General features: G+C 43.6%; 1 long non-coding RNA gene across 1 annotated transcript in view; it reads right to left on the bottom strand.

Moving 5' to 3' along the window:
- Positions 1–1,078: 1,078 nt before the first annotated feature.
- Positions 1,079–27,749, bottom strand: part of LOC102723769 (uncharacterized) — a 59,129-nt gene continuing 32,458 nt past the window's right edge. The window contains exon 3 of the long non-coding RNA NR_110761.1: positions 1,079–2,342. This is a non-coding gene — a long non-coding RNA (uncharacterized LOC102723769). The remainder of the gene's footprint in view (positions 2,343–27,749) is intronic.

Raw genomic sequence — 27,749 nt, 5'->3', positions numbered from 1 at the left:
TCTCTCCTTCTCTCTTCTCTTCTTCTTGCCTGCAATTTGGCAAGCAAGGGGTGCGTTTCAGCCCTGTTTATGTTACACCTCTTTCAGCCCTGCTAGTTGGCAGGTCCCGAGTTCTTGTCCTGAGTCCAGGAAGAATGAGGTATGTGGGCAAGTAGAAGGTGAGCAAGGTGAAGAGGTGCTTTATTGAGCAACAGTACAGCTCAGAGGAGACGTGCAGTGGGTAGCTCCTTTCTGCAGGCAGGTCATCCCAACGTCTGTTCAGCTCTCAGCAGCTGAGAGAGATGCATGGTGGTTAGCTATGCCCACAGTGCCCAGGCTTTTCGAGCAGAGGAGTGCCTTCAGGCCAGTGCTGAGCCACTCTTAGCCCCACCTCAACGTCCCTACTGTGCTCATCAGTTCCCAAAGTGTAGAGGGGGCCGAGGTGGCAGGGGGCTGGCATGTCAGCACTGCCCTGAGCTTGCACAAACTGGGCTGGGTTGCGACTGTGCCTGGGTTCAACCTCAACTTGGATCCGAAGTTGGAGTGGGCTCTGGGAGTGGAGAGATGCCAGGTGGTGGGAGCAGGTATGACTGGGCCTGCAGGGGCAGGGGGGCTTGCTGGGCCTCTGAGAGTGCAAAGATGCCTGGGTTTGCTGTCATGGGTGGATGGCTGCAGCTGTGCCTGGGAGGGTGGGGCTCCTTCCTGCCAATTTAGAAGGGCTGGGTCTCCCACCTGTTCCTGGCTCCCACTAACTTTGAGGAGTGCACAGCCCCAGCCACTCCTCCCCACTGCAGCCAGTGTCTCCGTAGCAACTGCTCCACATGGGCCACTGCTGCCATCATAGAGCGGTCCTTGCAGGTGCCTTTCTTGTACCTCAGCACTCCTGGGGGTCATTAGAAGCCCTAGCAACACTGCTCACCACACTATAGCTCCGGAGGCCCTAGCAGTCCTGCTCCCACAGATCCCACTTCTGACACCATCTATTAAAAGAAAATCTTCAGCTGAATTAAATTTAAAGGAACTTAATTGAGCAATGAATGATTCACGAATCAGGCAGCCCCGAGAATCACAGCAGATTCGGTGAGACTCCAGCACAGCTACATGGTGGAAGATTTATAGGTAATAAAGGGAACATGATGTACAGAAATCTGAAGTGAGGAGTAAGGTCCAGAAGCAACTGGGTCCGTTACAGTTCTCAGCAGTGAGGTCCAGAAACAACTGGACTGGTTACGGTGCTCAGCATTTGCCTTATTTGAACACAGCTGAACACTCAGCAGTGTGTGAGTGGCAGAAGTTTGGCTGTTGGGATTGGCCAGGACTCAGCTATAGTTACAGGTGCATACTCCAAAGTTAGGTTATCAGTCTTTCTACCTATTAAGTTAGGTTGCAGTTTGTCCACAGGGACTCAAATCTAGAAGTACAGAGTCCTTCCCAGGCCATATTTAGTTCACTGTAACAGTTCCTATTATGACCTCACTGACAGTTCTTTTTCTCTGAATTTTCCTTTCTTCTCAACAGCTTGTCCAAATGTTCCATTGGTCCCTGTTCATCCCACCCTGAAGCTCTCCTTGACTGATTCTGCCCTTTGTGGTTTGCAGTCCTGTTTCTCTACAGCTTGGACCCCTTCAGTCTTTCCATCATAGGTTTAAATCTCTGTTGAATTCTTCTTTGTAGCTACGCAAAAGTTACCTTAAGCTCAAAAAATTCAAAGTGAAAGCCACATCCTCCTCTCTTCCCTTATGTGTATGGTATTACTACCATGCAGCCAGTGACCCAAAATGGGATTTCTTCTGGGCTTTTCTTGCTTAGATTCAGGCTCATCTGGCTTCAAGCCTTGTTACTTTTGTTTCCTTGTTCTTTTATTTTTAATTTTTTTTCTTTTGAGACAGAGTTTCGCTCTTGTTGCCCAGGCTAGAGCGCAGTGGTGTGATCCTGGCTCACTGCAGCCTCCACCTCCCGGGTTCAAGCAATTCTCCTGCCTCAGCTCCTGAGTAGCTGGTATTACAGGCATTTGCCACCACGCCTGGCTAATTTTGTATTTTCAGTAGAGATGGGGTTTCTCTGTTTTGATCAGGGTGGTCTCGAGCTCCCGACCTCAGGTGATCCGCCCGCCTCGGCCTCCCAAAGTGCTGGGATTACAGGCATGAGCCACCGTGCCTGGCCTGCTTGTTGTTTTCATCTCATCCTGATTTCTGAATACAGGAGAGGAGCTGAGTTGGTGTTCACTAACAAGCACAGAAGCTTTGTTACATTTACAGTGTCATTCTTGGCAAAACCTGAATGGTATGTTTGTGGGGTGATGAGGTTCAGTCCCCTGTGACCTGTGCATCTGGCCAACACTGTGGTGACATCCTTAGGAATCCCTGGGGAGAGACAAAGCATTCAGGAGTTAGTGGGTCACTTTTGACAAGGGCCAATAAAGAAATATGCAAAGACAAAAAACAAGAAGAACATTGTCATATTTTATACCTTTTGTTTATATAAATTTATGTCAATGATTCTAGCTTAATGTTAATATGCAATGTATACAATATGCTAACATATACAATATATGTTTATAGTTTAAACATTTCTGTCATGTTTTCAGATTCTTTAAAGATTATATTACACTTCCTATTTCAGATAGCTGTTTAAAATGAGTAAGGAAAAACGGATGTGTGCATCAGTTCTAACTGTTTATGGACTAAAACTAGTTGATTTCTTGGTTAAGAACAAAAAGTGACAACCTAATTAACTGAAAATTTTAAGTAGGCAATTATGGTTTTAGCTTTAATGTAAAATATTAACTATGCTCCATTCTTGCATTTTTAACCTAATACTCAATATAAATCGCCACATGCCATGTTTCAGATCAAGGTTCTACTTGTGATCTCTCATGAGTTTTTCAAGGTTTTAATTATCTGAGATATAACAATGTACCCGTAACCTTACTGGCTTAAACCAGGAATTTATTCTTTTTACATGTCACAATTTTCTGGGTCAAGACACTGGACAGGGTGGTGTTGGTTGGTTGCTTCATGATGTCCCTGGTCTCATCTGGAAGGACTCTAGTGGCTGGGGACATGGAGCAGGCACCCAGCCCTCTCTTTGTGGCCAGCACGGACTTCCTCCCAGTCTGGCAGCGTCAGGTAGTCAGGTTTGTCTGGCTTCTCCCAAGGTGTGTGTCCAAGAGGCCCAGGCAGAATCTGTAAGGCCTCTCATGATCACCCCTCAGAAGTCCCAGAGCATCTCTCCTGCCACACTGTCCAGTCGTGCTCATCACTGAGACCAGCCATGATTCAAGGGGGGAAGGTGATTAGATTCCACCTCTTGATGAGAAGCATAGTAGGAACCTGCAGCAGTCTTTAATAAACCACAGCGTGTCTTCTGGCCACAAACTATTAACGTTTCTCCCACATGCAAATTATGCTTTGCCCCTCTCAAGAGCCCCAGAATGGTTTTACTTATGGCACTGGCTAGTAGCCCAACTGAATCCTGAATCAGGTTGTGGTGGCCTGTCACCTGCACCCACACACACTCAGCCGCAGTGAGGACTGAATCAGGTTGTGGTGGCCTGTCATCTGCCCCCCCCCAAACACAGCCACAGTGGGGACTGAATCAAGTTGTGGTGGCCTGTCATCTGACCCCCCACACACAGCCACAGTGGGGACTGAATCAAGTTGTGGTGGCCTGTCATCTGACCCCCCACACACAGCCACAGTGGGGACTGAATCAGGTTGTTGTGAGCTATCATCTGAGCCCACAAACTCAGCCGCAGTGAGGGGACTGCTGTGAAAACAGTCGACATTTCCCTTTAGAAGCTTTGGTGGGAGGCAAGAGGGAAGTGCTGCCCTGCAGGCCTCGTCTAAGAGTTGGTCATTCCCATGGGGGGCCTGTTACAGTTCTGTGATTAGTGCCCAGTCCTGGTCCCTGAGAACGGCACCCAGTCCTGGTCCCTGAGAATGGTGTTTGTGTCCTTTTACTCCTCCCTCTGGGCTTTTGTCATTCTCCATGTTCTTTTTCCTTCGGTGCCTGGGTTGCCGTTGACCAACTTTCCCTGCCTTTTTCTTAGGGTCAATAGGGTATTCAATGGCTTCTTTTTCATTTTTTTTTCCTTTTCTTTTCTTTTCTTTTTTTTTTTACTTTGGCCTTTTGAGACAAGAAATTATTTCTTTATATTTTCTCTAAATTCTGTTTGAAAACTGAACCTTCTTCTTTAGATCATGTCCCTCTCCTGTCATATTTATTCAATGACAGTTAGGGTAGGCTGGTAGCACTTTCCATGTTCTTCCCAGATGTCTCCTTAGGCAGATCCCTGAGATGGTGCAGTGCCTTTTCAGTTTCCATGTTGTGGCCGTAGTTTTCCCACAGTCCCTCAGCACGTAACTCTCACGCCTTTTCTCCAGTTTCCAATGACATTTTCTCACCGTCCTTCAGGCCCTGACCAAGAGTCTTGATGCCCTTCCAGGTTGCATGAATGGTCTCCTTGAGGCCCAGTTACAGGTCAGCCTCACAGTCGTGTCACATATTGTAGCTTCTGATTACCACAGCAGCTCATTTCCAGCTGCCATATTCTGTTCCAGTTATCTATTCTGAAGTAAAACAACTCATTATTACTTGTTTTTTGGCTTAGAGAGTCTTGGTGGCCAGCTCATCTCACACACAGTTGCAGCCAAGTTGGATTGTGTGAAAGCACAGTGGGGTGGTGTGCAGGGTGGCTCTTTAGTGGTTGGGAGTGGATGTTGCTGAAGGCTCACTAGTTGTTGGGAGTCGGTGTTGCTGGAGGCTCAGTGGGGGATGTCAATGTGTGTAGCTAGTCATGGACTGGCCTTGTGGTTTCCATCATGAGGTCTCAGGGGAGTGGGATTTCCTGCCTAGTGACTGGCTTTCTCCTGGATAAGTGTTCTGTTTTCTCAGCCTGGCTTCTGAAGTCCCCAAATACCACCTTTGTCACCTTCTGTTGGCCAAATAAGTCACTAGTCTGGTCAAGGTTTAAGGGGAATTGGTTCTCACAGAGAGAGGAGCAGGAAAGAATTTGTCACCTTTAGTCTACCAGAAATGAGATTTTTATAACAAGTTTATTCCAAATACATTCCAGTTCCCCTTGTGAATACTTTTTTGACTCACAGGGTATTTCAAAGTTTATTACTTGGTTTTTAGACATTTGAGGCTTTTCTGGATATCAATTTGTTGTTGGTTTCTAATTTAATTTCAAGTGTTCAGACAACATACTTTGTATACTATTTCAGGCTTGAACCTTTTCTCAATCGATTGACATACAGTCTATCTTGGCACTGCCAAGTACCATTTGGGTCAGGATTTTGTCATTTAGATCCGTATTTTCCTATATTTTCATCTGGTTGTTCCATCAGTTACTGAGAGAGCAGTATTAATTCACCAGCTATAATTTTGGATTGTCAATTTCCTGCTTTTGTTCTATTGTTTTTGATTCACATACTTTGAGGCTCTGTGTGTGTTTGTGTAGTTTGTGTGCACTTTGAGGCACAATTTATAATTGTAACATCATCCTCTCTGATTCTTTTATTTTTATTAAATTACCCTGTTTATTTCTGGTGATATATTTTGTTCTGAAGCCTCTTTCATCTAGTGTTAACATCTCTGTTGAAGCTTTTTATGATTAGTGTCTGGATAGCATGTTTTTATGTTTAGTGTCTGCATAGCATATTTTTTCTCATACTTTGTGTCTTTGTGTTTAAATTGTGTCTCTGTGGATGCCATATTGTTGGGTCTTGCCTTCCTCTCAGGTCTGGCAGTCTCTGTCTTAAGTAGAGTATTTGTCCAGTTACATTGTAACTAATCATTGCTAAGGTTGGATTTAGGTCTGCCATTTTTCTAGTTATTTTCTATTTGTTTGTTTATTTTTTTTTAAGACAGGGTCTTGTTCTGTCACCCAGACTGTAGTGCAATGGTGCAATCTTGGCTCACTGCAACCTCTGCCTCCCAGGCCCAACCAATCCTCACTTGAGCCCCCTGAGTAGCTGGGACTACAGGTGCATGGCACCACACCTGGCTAATTTTTATATTTTTTGTAGAGATAGGGTTTTGCCATGTTGCACAGGCTGGTCTTGAACTCCTGAGCTCAAGCAATCTACCCACCTTGGCCTCCCAAAGTGTTCAGATTACAGGCATGAGCCACCATGCCTGGCCTTCGTCTGTCTTTTGATCTTCTATATATTCTTTCCTATCTTCTTTTGGGTTAAATATTTCTAAATATTCCAGTTTGATTAATCTTTTGGCTTTTTGAAATTTTTTTATAGGCTGGGCATGTTGGCTTATGCTCGTAATCTCAGCTCTGTGGGAGTCCAAGGGAGGTGGATTGCTTGAACCCAGGAGTTTGAGACCAGCCTGGGCAACATGACAAAACCCTCTCTACAAAAAAATCCAAACCAAAATTTAGCCTGACATCTTGGTGTGCACCTGTACTTCTAACTATTTGGGAGGCTGAGGTGGGAGGGTTGCTTGAGCCTGGGAGGTTGAGGCTGCAATGAGCTGTGATCATGCCATTCCACTCCTGCCAGCGCAACAGAGTAAGACCGTGTGTCAAAAAAGATCATTTTTATAAATAATTTATAATTTCGAATTTTGGTAACAAACACATACCTTAAAATTTACCATCATAACCGGTTGTAAGTATACAGTTTTGTAGAGTTAAGAATATTTACATTGTTGTGCAGCAGATTTCTAGATTTTTTTTTATCTTGGAAAACTCTATACCCATTCAACAACTATTAATTTCCCCTTCCTTCCACCTCCTGGCAAGTACTATTCTACTTTGTGTTTCTAAAAATTTGGCTTATATACCTAGGGTTATATAATATTTGTTTTTTAAGTAGGTTCCATGTTATGTGCAGAAGTGTCAGGATTTTCTTCCTTTCTATGGCTGAATAATATTTCTTCATATATATATATTTTCTCTCTCTATATATATATGTATATCCTTTTGTTTATCCATCTATTCCTGGATAGACGTTTTGGTTTCTTCCACCTAGTGGCTGTGTAATGCTCCTGTGAACATAGGTGTGCACATATCTGTTTGAGGTCCTGCTACTAGTTATTCTGTCTCTGTAGAAGTTGGATGGCTGGATCATATGGTCATTTTATTTTATTTTTTTGAGGAGCCAGTTCATATTTCCACCAACAGTGTTCAAGTGTTTCAGTTTCACCTGCACTTGTTACTTTCTTTTGGGTTTGAAGTGATGTCCCATTGTGGTTTCTATTTGCATTTCTGTAATGATTAGTGATGTTACACATCTTCTCATATATCTCATGTATCTGTTGGCTATTTGTATATCATGTTTGCATCTTTGGATGAATGCTCTTTGTCCATTTTTTAATCACTTTATTTTGTTGTGTTGTAGTGGGGTTTTTTGGTCATGATCATTCATTTATCTCACAGTTCATTCTTGTTACTTGGGCCAGGGTCATGATCATTCATTATCTCTCAGTTCATCCTCATTACGTTGGGCAAACAGTCATGCTGCAGGGTATAGATTATGTTATTCTGTTACTTTCAGGTAGAATTGGGGTCTAGGTTCTAATTGTTTCTAAGTTTAGATTCTGAATGAGAATCAGCAGAGGTAGACCACTGCTGCTGAGGCCTGGGGATTGCTGGGAAAAAGGCAGGAAACAGATACGCACCTGACCATGGAGGGTTTATGTTTCACGGCTCCCATCTGGGTACCCAAAGAACCTACATGTAGCTCGTCTGTGGAGAGCCTACATTGCCCACTCAAAGCAATTGAGGATGGAACAGTCTTGGGGCTGGAGCTCATTATTTGGGATGATAACCACATCTGCACAGAGAGGACCTGATAAGATGTTGTCCTTCCATGTATATCTGGGAATCCTGTGTAGGGTCTCTCTGTAAGGACAGGGGCAGTGTTGGCTCCTTGGCCTCTAGTTAGCTTCACAAGTAGTCTAGTAAAGGTTTTGCAAACTTGTCACCATCTGTGGACATTCTGGCCAGCTCTTGTTTTCACCCTACTGACTTCTTCAGACACTAGGCTTTTGCTTTAGACCATTCATGGTTTTCTTCCTCTTCAAATCAGTAATCAATAAATCGTCTTCAAGTCAATAAATTTCCACTCCTTTAGGAAACCCTGATCTTCTGGTCACACCAAGGTTTAATTAACTGGTTTGATTGTCTTTCTGTTTTCTTGGATTTTTTTTCCTTCTTCCTGGGGGTTTCTAGTAATTCTAGTTTGATGTCTCACTTTCTCCATTTTTTATTTCTTAGTTTTCTTCTGTGATTATTTTCACTGCAGCTGCAGGGCCTAATCCTGGGTTGGCAGAGAACTAGCACTTACTCTGCCCTAATTGGAATCCAGGAGAGATAGGAGGTTCCCTAGTGTGAAAATGTGTTTGCTCCTCTCTGCTTCTGGTAGTCTCTCTGTAGGAGTTCTTTACATATTCTGAATGTTCACTTCTTATGAGATACATGATGAGCAACTATAGGTTGAATGTCTCTGATCCAAAAATCTGAAATCCCAAATGCTCCAAAGTCTGAAACTTTTTGAGTGCCAACATGACACTCAAAGGAAATACTTATTGGAGCATCTCAGACTCAGGTGTTTGAATTTGAGATCCTCAACCAGTAAGAATAATCCAAATATTACAAAATCTGAAACACATCCCAAGCATTTCAAATAAGGGACACTCAACTGGTATTTTTTTTAATTTTACAGTTTGCCTTTTACCCTGTTGGTTGTGACCTTTCAGGTACAGAAGTTTTTAGGTTTGATATATTTTTGCTTTTACTGCCTGAGCTTTTAATGTCATATCCTAAAAATTATTGACAAATTCATCGTCATAAAGCATTTTCCAAATTTGTTTTCCCTAGGAGTTTGATAGTTCTAGTTTTACATTTAGGTTTATAATTCACTTTGAATTGATTTTAACGTGGTGTAAGGTAAGAGTCCAACTTCATTGTTTTGCATGTAGTTATACAATTTTCCCAACACCATTTGTTGAAGAAAGTGTGCTTTGCCATTGAGTGGTCTTGGCATCCTTGTGGAAGATCATCGGACCATATATGCCAGGGTTGGTTTCTGAGGTCTCTGTTGTGTTGGTCCATAAGTGTGTCAAGAGTGTCTTTATGCCATGACCACATTTTTTTTTTGGCTTATTGCAGTTTTATAATTGCTTTGAGACCTTTAATTTTGTTCTGTTTCAAGATTGATTTGCCTATTCATGGGCCCTGGAGATTCCATATGAGTTTTAAGATAGGTTTTTCTGTTTATCAAAAATGTCATTGGAATCTTTATGAGGATTGTATTGAATCTAGGTCACTTCGAGTAGTGTTGACATCATTCCAAGATGAAATCATCTAATCTGCAAACCCAGCTTTTCTTTTCATTTATTTGTGTTTAATTTCTTTTAACAGTGTTTTGTAGTTTTCTGTGTTCAAATCTTTTGCCCTATTGGTTAAGCTTATTTCTAATTTTTATAATGCTGTTGTAAATATAATTCTTTTTTTTTTTTTTTTTTTTTTTGAGATGGAGTCTTGCTCTGTCTCCCAGGCTGGAGTGCAGTGGCACTATCTCAGGTCACTGCAACCTGCACCTTCCTTATTCAAGCGATTCTCCAACCTCAGCCTCTCAAGGACTTGGGATCACAGGTGCCCGCCACCATGCCCAGCTAACTTTTTGGTATTTTTAGTAGAGACAGTGTTTCTACATGTTGACCAGGCTAGTCTTGAACTTGTGACCTCAGGTGATCTGCCCGCCTCGGCCTCCCAAACTGCTGGGATTGCAGGCATGAACCACCGCACCCAGCCAAATGTCATTCTTTTTAAAAATTTCTTTTCTTTTGTTTTCTCTTTCTTTTCTTTTCTTTTCTTTTATTTTCTTTTCTTTCTCTCTCTTTCTTTCCTTTCTTTCTTTTTTTTGAGACGGTGTCTCACTCTGTTTCCTAAGCTGGAGCACAGTGGCACAATCTCAGCTGACTGCAACCTCCACCTTCCAAGTTCAAGCAATTCTCCTGCCTCAGCCTCCCAGGTAGCTGGGACTACAGGTGTCTGCCACTATGCCCAGCTAATTTTTGTATTTTTAACAGAGATAGAGTTTTACTATTTATATTAGAGATGGGGTTGACCCAGCTGGTCACGAACTCCTGACCTCAGGTGGTCCACCCGCCTTGGCCTCCCAAAGTGCTGGGATTACAACTGTGAGCCACTGCACCTGGCCTCTTTTTAAAATTTTATTTGCAGATTGTTCATTGTTAGTTTATAGAAATGCAACTGACTTGTGTGTGTTACTGTATCCTGAAACTTTGTTGAATTTCATTATTCTACCAGTATTTTGTGGAATTTCAGGATTTTTACACATTACATCATGTTGTCTGTGAACAAAATTTTGTACTTTTTCCTTTCCAATTTGCATGCTTTTTATTACTTTCTCTTGCCTAATTATTCTGAGTAGAAATTCCAGTACTGTGGTGAATAGAAGTGGCAGGAAGAGATGTTGCTATCTTATTCCTGATCCTAGAGGAAAAGATTTTAGTTTTTCACCATTCAGTATGATGTTAGCTGTGAGCTTTTCATGTATAATCTTTATTTACTGAGGAGTTTCCTTATATTACTAATTCTTTGAGTGTTTTTATTACAAAAGGTGTTCATCTGGCTCTGGAACCAGATAAATGTTGACCTGATAGAATGGATTGGAATGTCCCCTTCTGGTTTTTGTACATTTTTGGAATATTTTGCAAAGGACTGGCATTAATTCTTCTTGAAATGTTTGGTAAAATTCTCCAGTGAAGTTATCTGGACCTGGAATTTTCTTTTTTGGGGGGTTTTTGATTACTGGTTGAATCTTCTTACTAGTTACAGGTCTCTTTGGATTTTTTATTTCTCCATGATGCAGTATGGTGGTTTGTGTTTCTAGGAATTTATAAATTTATTCTAGGTTGTCCAGTTTTGTGGCATATGGTTGCTCACATTTGTCTCTTGTAATCTTTTTCATTTCTGTGGAATCTGTTGTACTGTCACCTCTTTTATTTATGATTTTAGTATTTGAGATTTCTCTTTTTTTCTTAATATAGCTGTGAGTTTTAAAATTTTTATTGATCTTTAAAAAAACAAACTCAGTGTTTTTTTTTTCCTTTTTTTCTGATCTTATTCTGCTTATCTCTATTCTAATCTGTTACTTTCTTCCTTTTGCTTGGTTTGTCATTAGTTTTTTTTTTTTTTCCCCTTTAGGTGTAATGTTAGGTTATTGATTTGAGATCTTTCTTCTTTTTAATTTAAGCACCTGCAACTATAAGCTTCCCTTTAGCATGGCTTTGAGATCTTTCTTCTTTTTAATTTAAGCATCTGCAGCTGTAAGCTTCCCTTTACCATGGGTTTGAGATCTTTCTTCTTTTTAATTTAAGCATCTGCAGCTGTAAGCTTCCCTTTACCATGGGTTTGAGATCTTTCTTCTTTTTAATTTAAGCATCTGCAGCTGTAAGCTTCCCTTTAGCACTGCCTTTGTTGCCTCCTCCTGAGTTTGGGTATGTCATGGTTTTGTTTTCATTTGCTTAAACATTTTTTTGTCCTATTGTAATATAATTGTGTTGTTTTTAATAGAGGTAATTAATGAAACACATAATGAATTGTGCTTCTGTTTTTATAATATTTTAAGCATTCTTAACTCAGAAATGTAAATTTTAGAAAAAAATTCCAGGCCAGGCACACTGGCTCACACCTGTAGTCCCAGCACTTGAGGAGGCCGAGGCGGGAGGATCATCTGAGGTCAGGAGTTGGACACCAGCCTGGCCAACATGGTGAAACCCTGTCTTTACTAAAAATAGAAAAAAAATTTATAAAAGCTAGCTGGGTGTCATGGCGGGTGCCTGTAATCCCAGCTACTCTGGAGGCTGAGGCAGGAGAATCACTTGAATCTGGGAAGCGGAGGTGGCAGTGAGCTGAGATTGCACCACTGCACTCCAGCCTGGGTGGCAGAATGAGTCCATCTCAAAAAAAAAAAAGAAAAAAGAAAAAATTTCAGACATATTTATTTGTATTTCAATTTAGAAACTATGATCTCCTAAGTGTATTGACACAGCAACCTGATGTAAAGATAAAGAATAATAAGCATATAACAAAACGAAAACTTGCAAATACCTGTTTTTTATTAATTTTTAATTATATATATTTAAAAATTGCCAGATGCAGTGGCTTACACCTGTAATCCCAGCACTTTGGGAGGCTGAGGTGGGCAGATCACATGAGGTCAGGAGTTTGAGACCAGCCTGGCCAACATGGTGAAACCTCATCTCTATTAAAAATCAAAAAATTAGCCAGGCGTGATAGCATACATCTGTAATTCCAGCTACTCAGGAGACTGAGGCAGCAGAATTGCTTGAACATGGGAGGCAGAGGTTGCAGTGAGCCAAGATAGTGCCACTGCACTCCAGCATGGGTGACAGAGTGAGGCTCTGTCTCAAAAAAATAAAAATTGTCTGGGCACGGTGGCTCACACCTGTAATCGCAGCACTTTGGGAAGCTGAGGCAGGCAGATCACGTCAGGAGATCGAGACCATCCGGGCTAACACAGTGAAACGCCATCTCTACTAAAAATACAAAAAATTAGCTGGGCGTGGTGTCGGGTGCCTGTAGTTCCAGCTACTCCGGAAGTTGAGGCAGGAGAATGGTGTGAACCTGGGAGGTGGAGCTTGCAGTGAGCTGAGATTGCACCACTGGACTCCAGCCTGGGTGACAGAGCAAGACTCTGTCTTAAAAAAAAAATAAAATAAAACTAAAGTGTGGTTGACATACAAAAATTACACATATTTAATATATACCTTTGTGTGTGTGTGTGTGTGTGTGTTACGGAGGTTTTACTCTTGTTGCCCAGGCTGGAGTGCAGTGACATGATCTCAGCTAACTGCAACCTCCGCCTCCCGGGTTCAAGCAATTCTCCTGCCTCAGCCTCCTGAATAGCTGGGATCGCAGGCGTGCACCCCTACACCCGGCTAATTTTTGTATTTTTTTAGTACAGGCAGGGTTTCATCATGTTGGCCAGGCTGGTCTCGAACTCCTGACCTCAGATGATCCACCTGCCTCGGTCTCCCAAAGTGCTGGGATTACAGGCGTGTGACACCGAATATATACATCTTAATGAGTTTAGAGATAAGTATTTGCCCCAGGACTCATCACAACAAATAATGCCGTAAACTTGACCATCACTCCCCATATATTTCTCATTCTCACCCTTTTTAAAAAATGAGACCGGGAGTGGTGGCTCACGCCTGTAATCCCAGCATTTTGCGAGGCCGAGGCAGGTGGATCACGAGGTCAGGAGATCAAGACCATCCTGGCTAACACAGTGAAACCCCGTTTCTACTAAAAATACAGAAAATTAGCTGGGCGTGATGGCGGGCACCTGTAGTCCCAGCTACTTGGGAGACTGAGGCAGGATAATGGTGCGAACTCGGGAGGCAGAGCTTGCAGTGAGCTGAGATCGTTCCACTGCACTCCAGCCTGGGCAACAGAGTGAGACTCCGTCTCAAAAAAAAAAAAAAAAATGAGATGACCATTTCACCTAAAATATACCCTCTTAAGTTTTATTTTAAGTGTACAATACAGGACGGCCATGCATCAGAGATATATGTGGGTTTGGTTCCAGACCACTGCAATAAAGTGAGTTATACAATTTCTTTTGGTTTTCCAGTGCATGTAAAAGTATGTTTATACTGTGCTGTATAAAGTGTGCAATAGCATATGTCTACAAAGTGTTCACACTTTAATTTACAAATACTTTATTGTTAACAAGTGCTAACAGTCATCTGAGCCTTCAGAAAGCTGCAATCTTTTCTTGTGTGCGTGACAGGGTTTTACTCTGTGGCTCAGGCTGGAGTAATTGCAGCCTCAACCTCATGCTCAATCAAACCCCCACCTCAGACTCCTGACTAGCTGGAACTACAGATGCATGCCACCGTGTCCAGCTAATTTTTGTATTTTTTTTTTTTTTTTGTAGAGATGGGGTTTTGCCATGTTGCCTTGACTTCCTGGGCTCAAGCAATCTACCCACCTTGGCCTCCCAAGGTGTTGGGATGACAGGTGTGAGCCACTGCACCTGGCCAAGTTTCAGTCTTCTTGCTGATGGAGGGTCTTGCCTTAATGTAAGGTGGTGGTTGCTGAGCGTTGGGGTGGCTGTGGCAATTTCTTAAAATAAGACACCATTGAAGTTTGCTGTGTCAATTGACTCTCCCTTTCACAAAAGAATTATCTGTAGCATACGATGTTGTTTGATAGCTTTTTACCCACAGTAGAACTTTCAAAATTCGATTCAATCCTGTCAAACCTTCGTACAGCTGTACCAACTAAGTTTATGTATTATTGTAAATCATTGGGTTCAATTCTGTCAAGCCCTCCTTCTGCTGTACCAACTAAGTTTATTCTAAATCTGTTGTCATCTCAACATTGTTTACACTGTCTTCACCACGAGTAGATTTCATCTCAAGAAACCACTTTCTTTGCTCATCCGTGGAAGCAACTCATCCACTCACGTTTTCTCCAGAGGCTTCTGCAGTCTCGCCAGATCTTCAGGCTCTGTCTCTGATTCTAGTGCTCTTGTTATTTCCACCATATCTGCAGTTACCTCCTCCACAGAAGTCGTGAACCCCTGTGTCATCTGTGAGGGTTGGAATAATCTTCCCAACTTCTCTCTCTCTCTTTTTTTTTTTTTTTTTTGAGATGAAGTCTTGCCTGGGCTGGAGTGCAGTGATGCGATCTCAGCTCACTGCAACCTCCATCTCCCAGGTTCAAGCAATTCTGCCTCAGCCTCCCAAGTGTTTGGGATTACGGTCACCCCGACCAGGCCCAGCTAATTTTTTTGTGTTTTTAGTACAGACAGGATTTCACTATGTTGGCCAGGCTGGTATCAAATTCCTGACCTCGTGATCCACGTTCCTTGGCCTCCCAACATGCTGGGATTACAAGTGTGAGCCACCACGCCTGGCCCCAACTTCTCTTAATGTTGCTATTTTGATCTTATTTTTTAAATCATGAATGTTCTCAATGGCATCTAAAATGGTGAATCCTTTCCAGTAGGTTTTCAATTATTTTGCCCAGATCCATCAAAGGAATCACTTTCTAGAGAAGCTATAGCTTTATGAAATATATTTTTTAAGTGATAAGACTTGAAAGTTCAAATTATTCTTTGATCCAAGGGCACCAGAATGAATGTTGGTTTAGTAGGCATGAAAACAATATTCTGCTCTTTATACATCTCTGTAAAAGCCCTTGAGTACCAGGGGCATTGTCAGTGAGCGGTAATACTTTGAAAGGAATCTTATTTCTTGAGCAGTAGGTGTCAACAGTGGGCTTAAGATATTCAGTAAACCGTATTTGTAAACCGATAGTCTGTCATCCAGGCTTTGTTCCCATTTGTAGAGTACAGACAGAGCTGTGTTTTATCATAATTCTTCAGGGCCCTTGGATTTTCAGAATAGTAAATCATCATTGGTTTCAAGTTAACATCACCAACTGCATTAGCCCTTAACAAAAGAGTCAGCATGTCCTTTGAAGCCTTAAAGCCAGGCATCAACTCCTCTCTAGCTGGGAACATCCTAGATGGCATCTCCTTCTAGTAGAAGGCTGTTTTGTCTCCATTGCAAATCTATTTAGTGTAGCCATCTTAATCAGTTATCTTCTAGATAGCTTTCTGCAGCTTTTCCATCAGTACTTGCTGCTTTATCTTGCGCTTTTATGTTATGGAGATGACTTTTTTCCTTAAACCTCAAGAAACAAGCTCTTCTAGCTTCAGACTTTCCTTCTGCAGCTGCCTCACCACTCTAAGTCTTCATAGAATTGAAGAGAGGCCAGGTGCAGTGGCTGTCACACCTGTAATCCTAGCACTTTGCGAGGCCGAGGCAGGCAGATCACCTGAGGTCGGGAGTTCGACGCCAGTCTGACCAACGTGGAGAGACCCCATCTCTACTAAAAATACAAAAAATTAGCCAGGTGTGGTGGTGCATGCCTGTAATCCCAGCTACTCGGGATGCTGAGGCAGGAGAATGGCTTGAACTTGGGAGGCAGAGGTTGCGATGAGCCAAGATCATGCCATTGCACTCCAGCTTGGGCAAGAAGAATGAAACTCTGTCTCAAAAATAAAGAAAAAAAAGTAAAAGGAGAGTTAGGCTTAAGCTTAATGGAATGTTTTTTGTTTTTTTTTCATCTTCTATCTAGACCAATTAAACTTTCTTCATAACAGCAGCAAGGTTGTTTAGCTTTTTATCATTCATGTGTTCACTGGAGCAGTACTTTAAATTTCTTTCCAGAACACTTCGTTTGCATTCACAACTTGGCTAAGTGTTTGTTGCATGAGGTCTAGCTACTGGCCTGTCTTGCTTACAGCATGCCTTCCTCACTAAGCTTAATTATTTCTTCCTTTTGGTTTAAAGTGACAGACATGCAACTCTTCTTTCATGAACATATAGAGGCTATTGTAGGGTTATTAATTGGCCACATTTTAATATTAATAAAAAGAAGCCTGAGAAAAAGAGAAAGAGAAATGGCCCATTGGTTGGGCAGTCAGAACAAACGCATGTCAATTGTTTGCTGTCTTATCCTGGTGTGATTTGTGGTTCCCAAAACAATGACAACAGTAGCATTAAAGATCACTGATTACAGATCACCACAACAGATTCAATAATAAAAATCTCAAAATACTGTGAGAATGACCGAAATGTGACACAGAGACGTGAAGTGAGCACGTGCTGTAGGAACAATGGTGCCAGTCAGACCTGCTTATTGCAGGGTGGCCACAAACCTTCAATATGTAAAACACATGGTCACAAAACACAATAAAGCAAAGTGCAGTGAAACAAGATGTGTCTGTCTTTTGATAGACTGTGACAATCTCTACCTTTGAATTGGTACATTCATACCATTAACATTCAAAGTGATTATTGATATCATTGGATTAATATCTACTATATTTGTTACTGTTTTCTATTCATTCTCCTCAGTCTTCATTCTTTTGTCTACCACTCTTTTTCTCCCTTTCGCAGTTTTCATTGATGATTTTAGATGACTACATTTTCCCTGTCTTTCTTAGCATGTACTTCTCTTTTTAAAACCTTTTTTAACTAGTTGCCACAGAATTTGCAATATACATTTACAACCAATGCAAGTCCACTTTCAAATTACACTATCCAACTATCCCACAAATAAGACTACCTGCTTAACAAACAAAACACCTAATTCCTCAGTAACATTTACAACAAATTCAAGTCCACTTTCAAATAACACTATCCCACTATCCCACAAATAAGACTACCTGCTTAACAAAGAACACACCTAATTCCTCAATATACATTTACAACCAATTCAAGTCCACTTTCAGATAACACTATCCCACTTCACGCGTGACTACCTGCTTAACAAAGAAAACATCTGATTCCTCCCTCCCATCCTTCCATTCCATTCCTTGTATTATTGTTCCTTATTTCACTTGTGTATAAGCATGCATAATCTATCTGTGTGTATTTATTATTATCTACAAACTTATTGGTCAGATCAATTATGAATAAATACATGTTTTTATTGTACCACAATGCCTCCCTCCCATCCTTCCATTCCATTCCTTGTATTAATGTTACTCATTTCAATTGTGTATAAGCATACATAATCTATCTGTGTGTATTTGTTATTGTCTATGAACTTCTTGGTCAGATCAATTAAGAATAAATACACAGGTTTTTATTGTACCACAATTCTTTCTTTAATGCTCTTTTTAAAAAAATGTTGATCCAGGTTTCAGTTACATATCTTTTGTTTCCCTAAAGAATTTCATTTAACATTTCTTGCAAGACAGGTCTCCTGGCAACAAGTTTCTTGAATTTTTATTTTTCTGAGGAAGGCCTTAATTCTCCTTCACTTTTGAAGGGTGTTTTCAGTGGGTACAGAAACTTAGGTTGGTGGGTTTTTTTTCTGTCAACCTTTTGAATTTTTCATTTCACTGTCTTCTTACTTTCACAGTTTCTGCAATGTTGAATGCAGTTCTTATCTTTGTGTCTCTGTAGGTAAGGTGTTTTCTGCCCCACCTCTGGTTTCTTTCAGAGTTTTCCTTTATCTTTTATTTCATATAGTTTGAAAATTATATGTCCAAGTGTATGTTGTTGGCATTTATTCTGCCTGGTGTTCTCGGAGCTTCCTGGATCTTTGGTTTGGTGTCTGACATTAATACTGGAAGTTCTCAGACATGGTTGTTGCAGAACTTTCTTCTATTTCTTCTCCTCCTGGTATTCTCATTACTCTGTTTCACCTTTTGTAGTTGTCCCACAGTCTTGAATATCATCTTCTGTTCTTTTCAGTGTTTCTTTTCTTTAGTTTTTGAAGTTTCTGGTGATAAATCCTCAAGCTCAGAGATTTTTACTCAGCTGAGTCCAGTCTACTAATAAGCCATCAGAGGTATTCTTCAGTTATTTACCACGTTTTTCATCACTACATTATGTTGAAAGTTCTTACGATGTTTGTCTTTCTGACAACATTACCCATCTACACTTGAATACTGTCTACTTCATTCATTAGGCCCTTAGCATATTCTCCAGAGGTTTAAAAAAAATTCCAAAATCATATCTTTGTCTACTTCTGAAGCTTGCTCTGTTGACACAAATTATATTTTTTTTCTTTTTTTGGATTTTAGTATGCCTTGCAATTTTTTCCCTTTATTCTCATGCATGAAGCACCCACGGAAAGTGACTGCTGTTAGTATAGCTTCAGTAATGCGGTGATGAGGTGACAGGGCAGGTGATGCTCTCTTAGTCTCTTTAGGCTACTATAACAAAATACTTCAGACTGAGTAATTCATAAACAACAGAGATTATTGCTCACAGATCTGGAGGCTGGAAAGTCCAAGACTAAAGGGCCAGGATATTTGGTGTTTGTTGAAGGTCAAACATTCAGACACTCACAACGACTATAGCGACAGCAGCAGTCTTCAGGAATCCTATGTGAGGGACAAACACTCAGAAGCCAGCTGGAGTGTTCTAGAATCCTATGTGAGGGCCAAACATTCAGACCCCAGCAGTAGTGTTGTGGAATCCTATGTGAGGGACAAACTTTCAAACCCTTGTAACAGTGTTCTGGAATGCTATGTGAGGGACAAACATTCAGACCATGGGAGCAGTGTTCTGGAATTCTATGTGAAGGACAAACATTAAGACTCTCATAGCAGTGTCCTGGAATCATATGTGAGGGACAACCATTCAGACACCAGCAGAAGTGTTCTGGAATCCTAGGTGTGGGAAAAACATTCAGAACCTAGTAGCAGTGTTCTGGAATCCTATGTGAGGGACATACATTCAGACCACGGCAGCAGTGTTCTGGAATGGTATGTGAAGGACAAACATTCAGACCCTTGTAGCAGTGTTCTGGAAATCTATGGGAGGGACAAACATTCAGACCACAGCAGCAGTGTTCTGGAATCCTATATGATGGACCAACATGCAGACCCTTGCAACAGTGTTCTGGAATACTAGGTGAGGGAAAAATATTCACACCCTTGTAGCAGTGTTCTGGAATTCTATGTGACTGACAAACATTCAGACTCCAGCAGCAGTGTTCTGTAATCCTATGTGAGGGACAAACATTCAGACCCCAAGAGCAGTGTTCTGAAATCCTATGTTAAGGGAAACATTGAGACCCCAGCATGAATGTTCTGGAATCCTATGTGAGGGACAAACATTCAGACCACAGCAGGAGTGTTCTGGAATCCTATATGAGGTATAAGCATTCAGACCCTCATAGCAGCGTTCTGGAATCCTATGTGAGGGAGAAGCATTCAGAGCACAGCAGGAGTGCTCTGAAATCCTATGTTAGGGACAAACATTCAGAACCTTGTAACATTGTGCTGGGAACCTATGTGAGGGACAGACATTTAGACCCTCGCAGCAGTGTTCTGGAATCCCATGTGAGGGTCAAACATTCAGATCCTCGCAGTAGTGTTCTGGAATTCTATGTGAGTGACAAACATTCAGACTCCAGCAGCAGTGTTCTGTATTCCTATGTGAAGGACAAACATTCAGAATCCAGGAGCAGTGTTTTGAAATCATATGTTAAGGGCAAACATACAGACCCTAGCATCAATATTCTAGAATCATATGTGAGGGACATACATTCAGACCCTCGCAGCAGTGTTCTGGAATCCTAGATGGGGGACAAACATTCAGACCCCAGCAGCAGGCTTCTGGAATCCTATGTGGGAGACAAACATTCAGACAATGGCAGCAGTGTTCTGGAATCCTATGTGAGGGACAAACACTCAGAGCCTTGTAGCAGTGTTCTGGAATCCTATGTGAGTGAGAGTGCCTGGAGCCTACCCAACCTGACGCCCCCACAGCCCTCACAGGGTCTGACCTCCCAGCATGCACCTGCCTCTCCCTGAACCCCAACTGCCCACCCTGCCTGTTCCCTGGCCTCCTCCATCCTGTGCAGCCCATAGACTGTGACCATCTCTCCAGCCACTCTGGCTCTTCCTTTACCTTTGTCCTGTCAGAATCTCTGAGCAGGATCTCCCAAGTCCATCCAAATACGTGCTTTGTCCACTTCTGACTAGGCCCTTGGGCATCACTGGGCTATCCCAGCTGTCCACAGGGCCTTCAATAATGCACTTTGCACCTGGCTTATCCAAGCAGTGCTCAGCAGCCCACATTGACCAGGTCCCTGCTGACCAGACCCTGCACATCAGGTCCTCCCTGATGACACCCTCACTGATTAGACCCTCATGACCAGGCCCCACTAACAAGGCCCCCACTGCCAGGCACACAATGACAAGGACTCCACCGACCAGGACCTTACTGACAAGGCCTCACTGACAAGGCCTCACGGACCAAGTCCTTACTGACAAGTCCTCACTGACTAGGTCATTATTGACAAGGCCTCACTGATCAGGTTCCACTGATCATGACCTCATTCCCTGGCCCCAAAGATGAGGCCCCACTGACCAGGCCTCCAGGGAACAGGTTGCCACCGATCAGGCCCCTAATAACGAGGCCTTATGTCACCAGATGCCCCTGACTGGGACCCTAGTGAGTAGACCCCACTGAACCAGCACCAAATGCTGAGATCCCCGCTGACCAGGTCACCCTGTAGACCGGTGCTACAAAAGTCACCACTGACCAAGTCCTCTCTGACCAGGACACTACAGATTAGGTCCCACCGACAAGGCTGCCCTGACCAGGGCCCCACTGACAAGGGCCTCACTGATGAGGACACGCCCACCAGGGTCTGCTGACTAGGTCCCATGTGCCCAGTCCTCCACTGAATAGCACCCCTTGACCTGGTCACCAGTGCCCCAGCCCATGCTGACCAGGCCAGCACTAAGCCCCAGCTGACCAGGTCTCCACTGATCAAGCCCCACAGCCCAGGTTTGCACTGACCAGACACCAAACAACTGGCAGCCAATAGGTCCCCACTCACCAAAACTCCCACTACTAGACCCCACTAATGAGACCCTCTCTAAGCAGACCCCTGCTGACCACGATCCCACTAAATAGTCCTCACTGACCTAGGTCCACTGACCAGGCCCACACTGATCAGGCCCCTCCTAACCACACCGGAAATCCAAGCGGCAATGACATGTTTCATATGGCAAAAGTTGGAACAAGACAGAGAGAGGAAAGAGGTTCCACAGCCTTTTAAACTACTAGATCTCATGAGAACTCACTCACTATCAGGAGGATGGCATTAAGGGCTTGGTGCTTTGCCATTTGTGAAGGATCCACTCCCACACCTTTATGATTAAAGCTTTTTCCACCTAGGCCCCGACTCTAACATTAGGGAGTGTACTTTCACATGAGTTTTGGAAGGGGCATAGAGAAAAACCGTATTATTCTGTCCCTGACCCCACAAATCTCATGTCCTTCTCACATTGCAAGATACAGTCATGCCTTGCCAGCAGTCTCCCAAAGTCTTAACTCATTTCAGCATTAACTCAAAGTTACAAAATGCAAAGTCTCATCTGGGTCAAGGCTACATTCTCTTTTGCCTACGAGTCTCTGAAATAAAAAGCAAGTTCACTGCGTCTAAGGTACAATGATGGTACAGGCATTGTGTAAGCTTTCCATATCCAAAAGAGAGACATTTTCCAGAAAGCTTCTTATTTTTATCTGAAGCCCCCTCAGCCTGGCCTTCACTGTCCATGTTTTTGTCAGCATTCTTGTCACAGCCATTTAACCAGTCTCTAAGATGATCCAAAAATGTTCTCATCTGTCTGTCTTCTTTGGAGCCCTCCAAACTCTTCCAACCTCTACCCATTACCCAGTTCCGAAGTTGCTTCCACATTTTCAGGTATCTTTATAGCAATGCTCCAGTCCTCATTTGCCATTTTTGGTAAGATTTATTTTGAAAAAGAGGTTTAATTGGCTCATGGTTCTGCAGAGTGGACAGGAAGCTTAGTGCTTCTGCTTCTGGGGGGGCTCAGAAATCTTTCAATCATTGTGCAAGGTAATGAAAGAGTGAATTGTCTCACATGGCAAGAGGAAATCACGGAGAGTAGGGAGTGATATAGAGTTTTCAGTGGCCAGATCTCACGAGAAGCCACTCATGATTGTGAGGACAGTACCAAGGGGATGGTGCTGAACCACTCATGAGAAATTTGCCTTCATGATTCAGTCACCTTATACCAGGATCCACCTCCAACATTAGGAAGCATAACTCAACATGAGATTTGGTGGGGATACATATTCGAATTGCCTCATCAGTCTTTGAGTATAAAGACATCCATAGCAGGCTTTATCCAGCCAGCTTCTTTGGGATTCTTTATAGGGTTTCAGATCTATAGGATATCCACTAAAATATTCCTACTTCAAAAGGCAATAAAGTAAGTGGTATTATCATTCTTCAAAAAGTTATAATGGTAGTGTAGGCATTCATAGTATGATTTAGTTCATTTGCTACTGTTTCTATTCTATCACCATATTAACACTTTCCTACACAATTCTATATTCAGCTGGGTTTCAGTTGAGCACAAAGTCATCCTTGTACTACCACCGATAGCTGGCACCAGCTCTTTGATACTGTTATCATTCTGCTGTAGAAAGTACCCGTGAACTGGAAAAAGTCCACAATCGAATAGCTAGTCATTCAACACTATCAAATTTTAGGTGACTCTTTGAAAAAATAGTATCTCTTGTTGCAAGAAATGCTCCATCTGTGATTTCAAGTCTCTCACTTGAGTGAATTGGATGGAAGTGGTAAATTTCAGCCAAAGTGGCCAAAGAAATCCTGTTCCTGTGATAATGACGCCATCAGCCTCTGCACCTCTGTCTTCCCTTCTGCCACATGTTGTCTGTTCTCCGTGACTTTGGTAAGAGCTTCCTTGTGTATGTGGATGATGTCCAGGATGTTTGTCTTGTGTCCCTGAGACAGCACTAACAGGTCCATGGCTGGGTCCAGGTCCTTCCTGGACTGACTGGCAAGGAAGTTACTGATGTTCTTGAAGGCATCTCTGGTGAAGTGGATGGCCTAGTCAAGTTCCAAGGCCTGGCTGAGGCTGAAGAAAAACTGGCCACCTTCTGATGCTCTTTCTAAAAGCCTGTCACTGTCATCTGCTTGCTTGTCAACTCATTGGCTGTGAGGTTGAACTGAGTGGCGTGTGTCCATCTTCTTGGGGAACCATTTGAAGCCATCAATCTTGCTCTCCCACCCCTAAAGGTTGATGGTCACCACCTGGGGGTGTGCTGAGGGTCAGAAAGAAGCCAGCGCTCACTATCTCATCCTTCTCAGCCTTCCTCTTGCACTCTCTCCAGGCTGTCTCTTCAGTGGTGGTGGGATATATCAGAAAGTGATGGAAGATGTGGCACTGTGCCCACACCCAGAAGCTGGCCATGTGGTTGGCTCATCCACCAGAATGGATGCTCTGGGTGCTCTTTGAGCCAGCTTGGCCTCGCCTAGCATGCACAGGCTCCAGGTACCGACATGTTGCTCTGAGTGAGCTTGTACTGCTTTGGACCAAATTCTGTCAGGCCAGGGCCACAAAAGGCCGAGTCCCACGGGTGGTAATCCTGGCTGCTTTCTGCACTTCCACATAAAGACCTCCTGAAGATGGCCTGTGGTCTACCTCTTTGCAACCAAGAAGCCCGCAGTGCCATATGAATCCTCAGGCATGGACTGGAGCCCCTGAGGAAGCACACACCCTGCTCCTGAGCCTGCTGCTCATTTTCTCTGTGTGGCTCCATTTGTGTCACAGTTGTTGCACAGACTTGTGCATGCTGGGCAAGGCCAAGCTGGCTCAAAAAGCAACCAGCCACCTCTGCAAGGTTGTGCCAGGAGCCGGTGGACCGGCCACCAACCTCACTCACTGCTGGTCAGGTTACATCAGTTATTCTACCCTAGAGGTAGGGCCACAGTGCCATATGCTTTTCCTCAGGCCTCTGCTCTATCAGTCATCAGACGGCAACCACTCAGGCTGTGGGAACCTGGCCATCCCTCCTTCCTTGAGTAGCTGAGGTTGCTGGCTTGTCCGCCTACTACAGGCACAGCCTTGCAGATGTGGCCAGTTGCTCTGAGCCAGCTTGGCCTTGCCTGGCATGCATAGGCCCCAGGTACTGACACTCTGCTCCGAGTCAGCTTGTCCTGCCTTGGGTCAAATTCTAAGTCTGGCCAGGTCCACAGAAGGCCCAGTCCCCTGGGTGCTAATCTTGGCTGCTTTCTGCACTTGAACATAAAGTCCTCCTCAAGACAGCCTGTGTTCTGCCTCTTGAAGACCAAGAAGCCTACAGTGCCATACGAGCCCTGAGGCATGGACTGGAGCCACAAAGGCAGTGCACGCCCCATTCCTGAGTCTGCTGATCATTTCCTCTATATGGCTCCATTTGTAGCACACTTGTTGCAGTGAGGCTTGTGCATGCCAGGCAAGGCCAAGCTGGCTCAAAGAGCAAGCAGCCACCTCTGCAAGGATGTGCCAGGAGCAGATGGACCAGCCGCCAATCTCACTCACTGCCAGACGTGGTACATCAGTTTTTCTACCCTAAAGGTGGGGCCAAGAGGCAGACCACAGGCCATCTTGAGGAGGACTTTATGTTCAAGTGCAGAAAGCAGGCAGGATTACCACCCTGGGTACTCGCCCTTCTGTGGCCTGCAGTGCCATATGAGCCATGAGGCATGGACTAGTGCCATCTGCTTTATACAAAAATTAACTTAAGATTGATTAAAGAGTTAAATATGCCACCTGCTTTTCCTCAGGCCTCTGCTCCATCAGGCATCAGGTGGCAGCTACTCATGCTGTTGGAACCTCGCCATCCGGGCTTCCTTGAGTGGGTGAGGTTGCTGGCTTGTCTGCCTGCTACAGGCACAGCCTTGCAGAGGTGGCTGGTTGCTCTGAGCCAGCTTGGCCTTGCCTGGCATGCATAGGCCCCAGGTACTGACACTCTTCTCTGAGTCAGCTTGTCCTGCCTTGGGCCAAATTCTAAGTCTGGAGAGGACCACAGAAGGCAGAGTCCCCTGGATGGTAATCCTGACTACTTTCTGCACTTGAACATAAAGTCCTCCTCAAGACAGCCTGTGGTCTGCAGCTAGGCAACCAAGAAACCCGCAGTGCCATAGGAACCCTGAGGCATTGACTGGAGCCCCAAAGGCAGGGCACACCCTGCTTCTGAGCCTGCTGCTCGTTTCGTCTATGTGGCTCTGTTTGTTGCACAGTTATTACACTGAGGCTTGTGCATGCTGGGCAAACTCCAAGCCACTTAGAATTTGGTCCAAGGCAGAACAAGTTCACTGGGAGCAGCGTGTCAGTACCTGGGGCCTGTGCATGCCAGGCAAGGCCAAGCTGCCTTAAAGAGCAAACAGCCTCCTCTGCAAGGGTGTGCCAGGAGCCAGTGGACCCACCACCAACCTCACTCACTACTGGTCAGGGTACATCAGTTCTTCTACCCTAGAGGTAGGGCCCAACTGACATCTGCTTTTCCTCAGGCCTCTGCTTGATCAGCCATCAGGCGGTGGCCACTCATGCTGTGGGAACCTGGCCATCCCTGCTTCCTTGTGTAGCTGAGGTTGCTGGCTGCTCCACCTCCTCCAGAAGCACCCTTGCAGTGGTAGCTGGTTGCTCTTTGAGCCAGCTTAGCCTTGCCTAGCATGTACAGGCCCCAGCTACTGACACACTACTCCGAGTGAGCTGGTCCTGCTTTGAGCCAAATTCTAAGTCTGGCCGGGGCCACAGAAGGCCGAGTCCCCTGGGTGGTAAACCTGGCTGCTTTCTGCCCTTGAACATAAAGTCCTCCTCGGCTGGTCTATGATCTACCTCTTGGCAACCAAGAATCCTGCAGTCCCATACAAGCCCTGAGGCATGGACTGGAGCCCCAAAGGCAGTGCACACCCTGCTTCTGAGCTTGCTGCTCATTTCCTCTGTGTGGCTCCATTTTTAGCACAGTTGTTGCATTGAGGCTTGTGTATGCCGGGCAAGGCCAAGCTGGCTCAAAAAGCAACCAGCCGCGTTTGCAAGGGTGTGCCTGAAGTGGTTGGACTAGCCATCAACGTTGCCCACTCAAGGAAGCAGGGAATGCATGTTTGTACCATGCATTTCACTACAGGTCATTTCCCCTGAGTTTGGTGGCCTAGGTTTTCTTCTAGATTTTTTGTGGTTTTAGGTCTTACTTCTAACTCTTTCATCCATCTTACTTAATTTTTGTTTAAGGTTTATGGGTGTGGCCCAGTTTCAGTTTTCTGCATTTGGCTAGCCAGTTTTCCCAACACCATTTATTAAATAGGGTATCCTTTCCCATTGCTTGTTTTTGTCAGGTTTGTCAAAGATCAGATGCTTTTAGATGTGTGGTGTCATTTCTGAGGCCTCTGTTCTGTTCCATTGGTCTATAGATCTGATTTGGTACCAGCCCCATGCTGTTTTGGTTACTGTAGCCTTGTAGAATAATTTGAAGTCAGGTACTGTGATGCCTCTAGCTTTGCTGTTTTTGCTTAGGATTTTCTTGGCTATATGGGCTCTTTTTTGGTTCCATATGAAATTTAAAGTAGTTTTTCTAATTCTGTGAAGAAAGTAATGGTAGCTTGATGGGGACAGCAATGAGTCTATAAATTACTTTGGGTGGTATAGCACTCAGGCACAGAAATGTCCTTGTGTTAGGCAATACCATTCAAGACATAGCCATGGGCAGAGTCTTCATCACTAGAACACCAAAAGCAATGGCTACAAAAACCAAAATTTACAAATGGGATCTAACTAAACTTAAGAGTATCTGCAGTGCAAAAGAAACTATTATCAGCGTGAACAGGCAACCCACAGAATGGGAGAACATTGTTGCAATCTATCCATCTGACAAAGGGCTAATATGCAGAATCTACAAAGAACAAATTTACAAGAAAAAAAAAACCATCAAAAAGGGAGCAAAGGGTATGAACAGACACTTACCAAAGAAGACATTTATACAGCCAACGAACATGTGAAGCAAAGCACATCATCACTGGTCATTAGAGAAATGGAAATCAAAACCACAATGAGATACAATCTCACACCACTTAGAATGGTCATCGTTAAAAAATCAGGAAAGAACAGATGCTAGAGAGGATGTGGAGAAATAGGAAAGCTTTTACACAGTTGGTGGGAATATAAATTACTTCAACCGTTGTGGAAGACAGTGTGACAATTCCTCAAGGATCTACAACCAGAAATATCATTTGACCCAGCAATCCCATTACTGGGTATATACCCCCAAAATTATAAATCATTCTAATATAAAGACACATGCACCTGTCTGTTTATTGCGGCACTGTTCACAACAGCAAAGACTTGGAACCAACCCAAATGCCCACCAATGATAGACTGGATAAAGAAAAT

Source organism: Homo sapiens, chromosome 22 (assembly GCF_000001405.40).
Source record: "Homo sapiens chromosome 22, GRCh38.p14 Primary Assembly".
In the NCBI taxonomy this organism is placed as follows: domain Eukaryota; kingdom Metazoa; phylum Chordata; class Mammalia; order Primates; family Hominidae; genus Homo; species Homo sapiens.
Note: the sequence above shows the minus strand (reverse complement) of the source record. Positions and strands in the feature narration are given on the sequence as shown.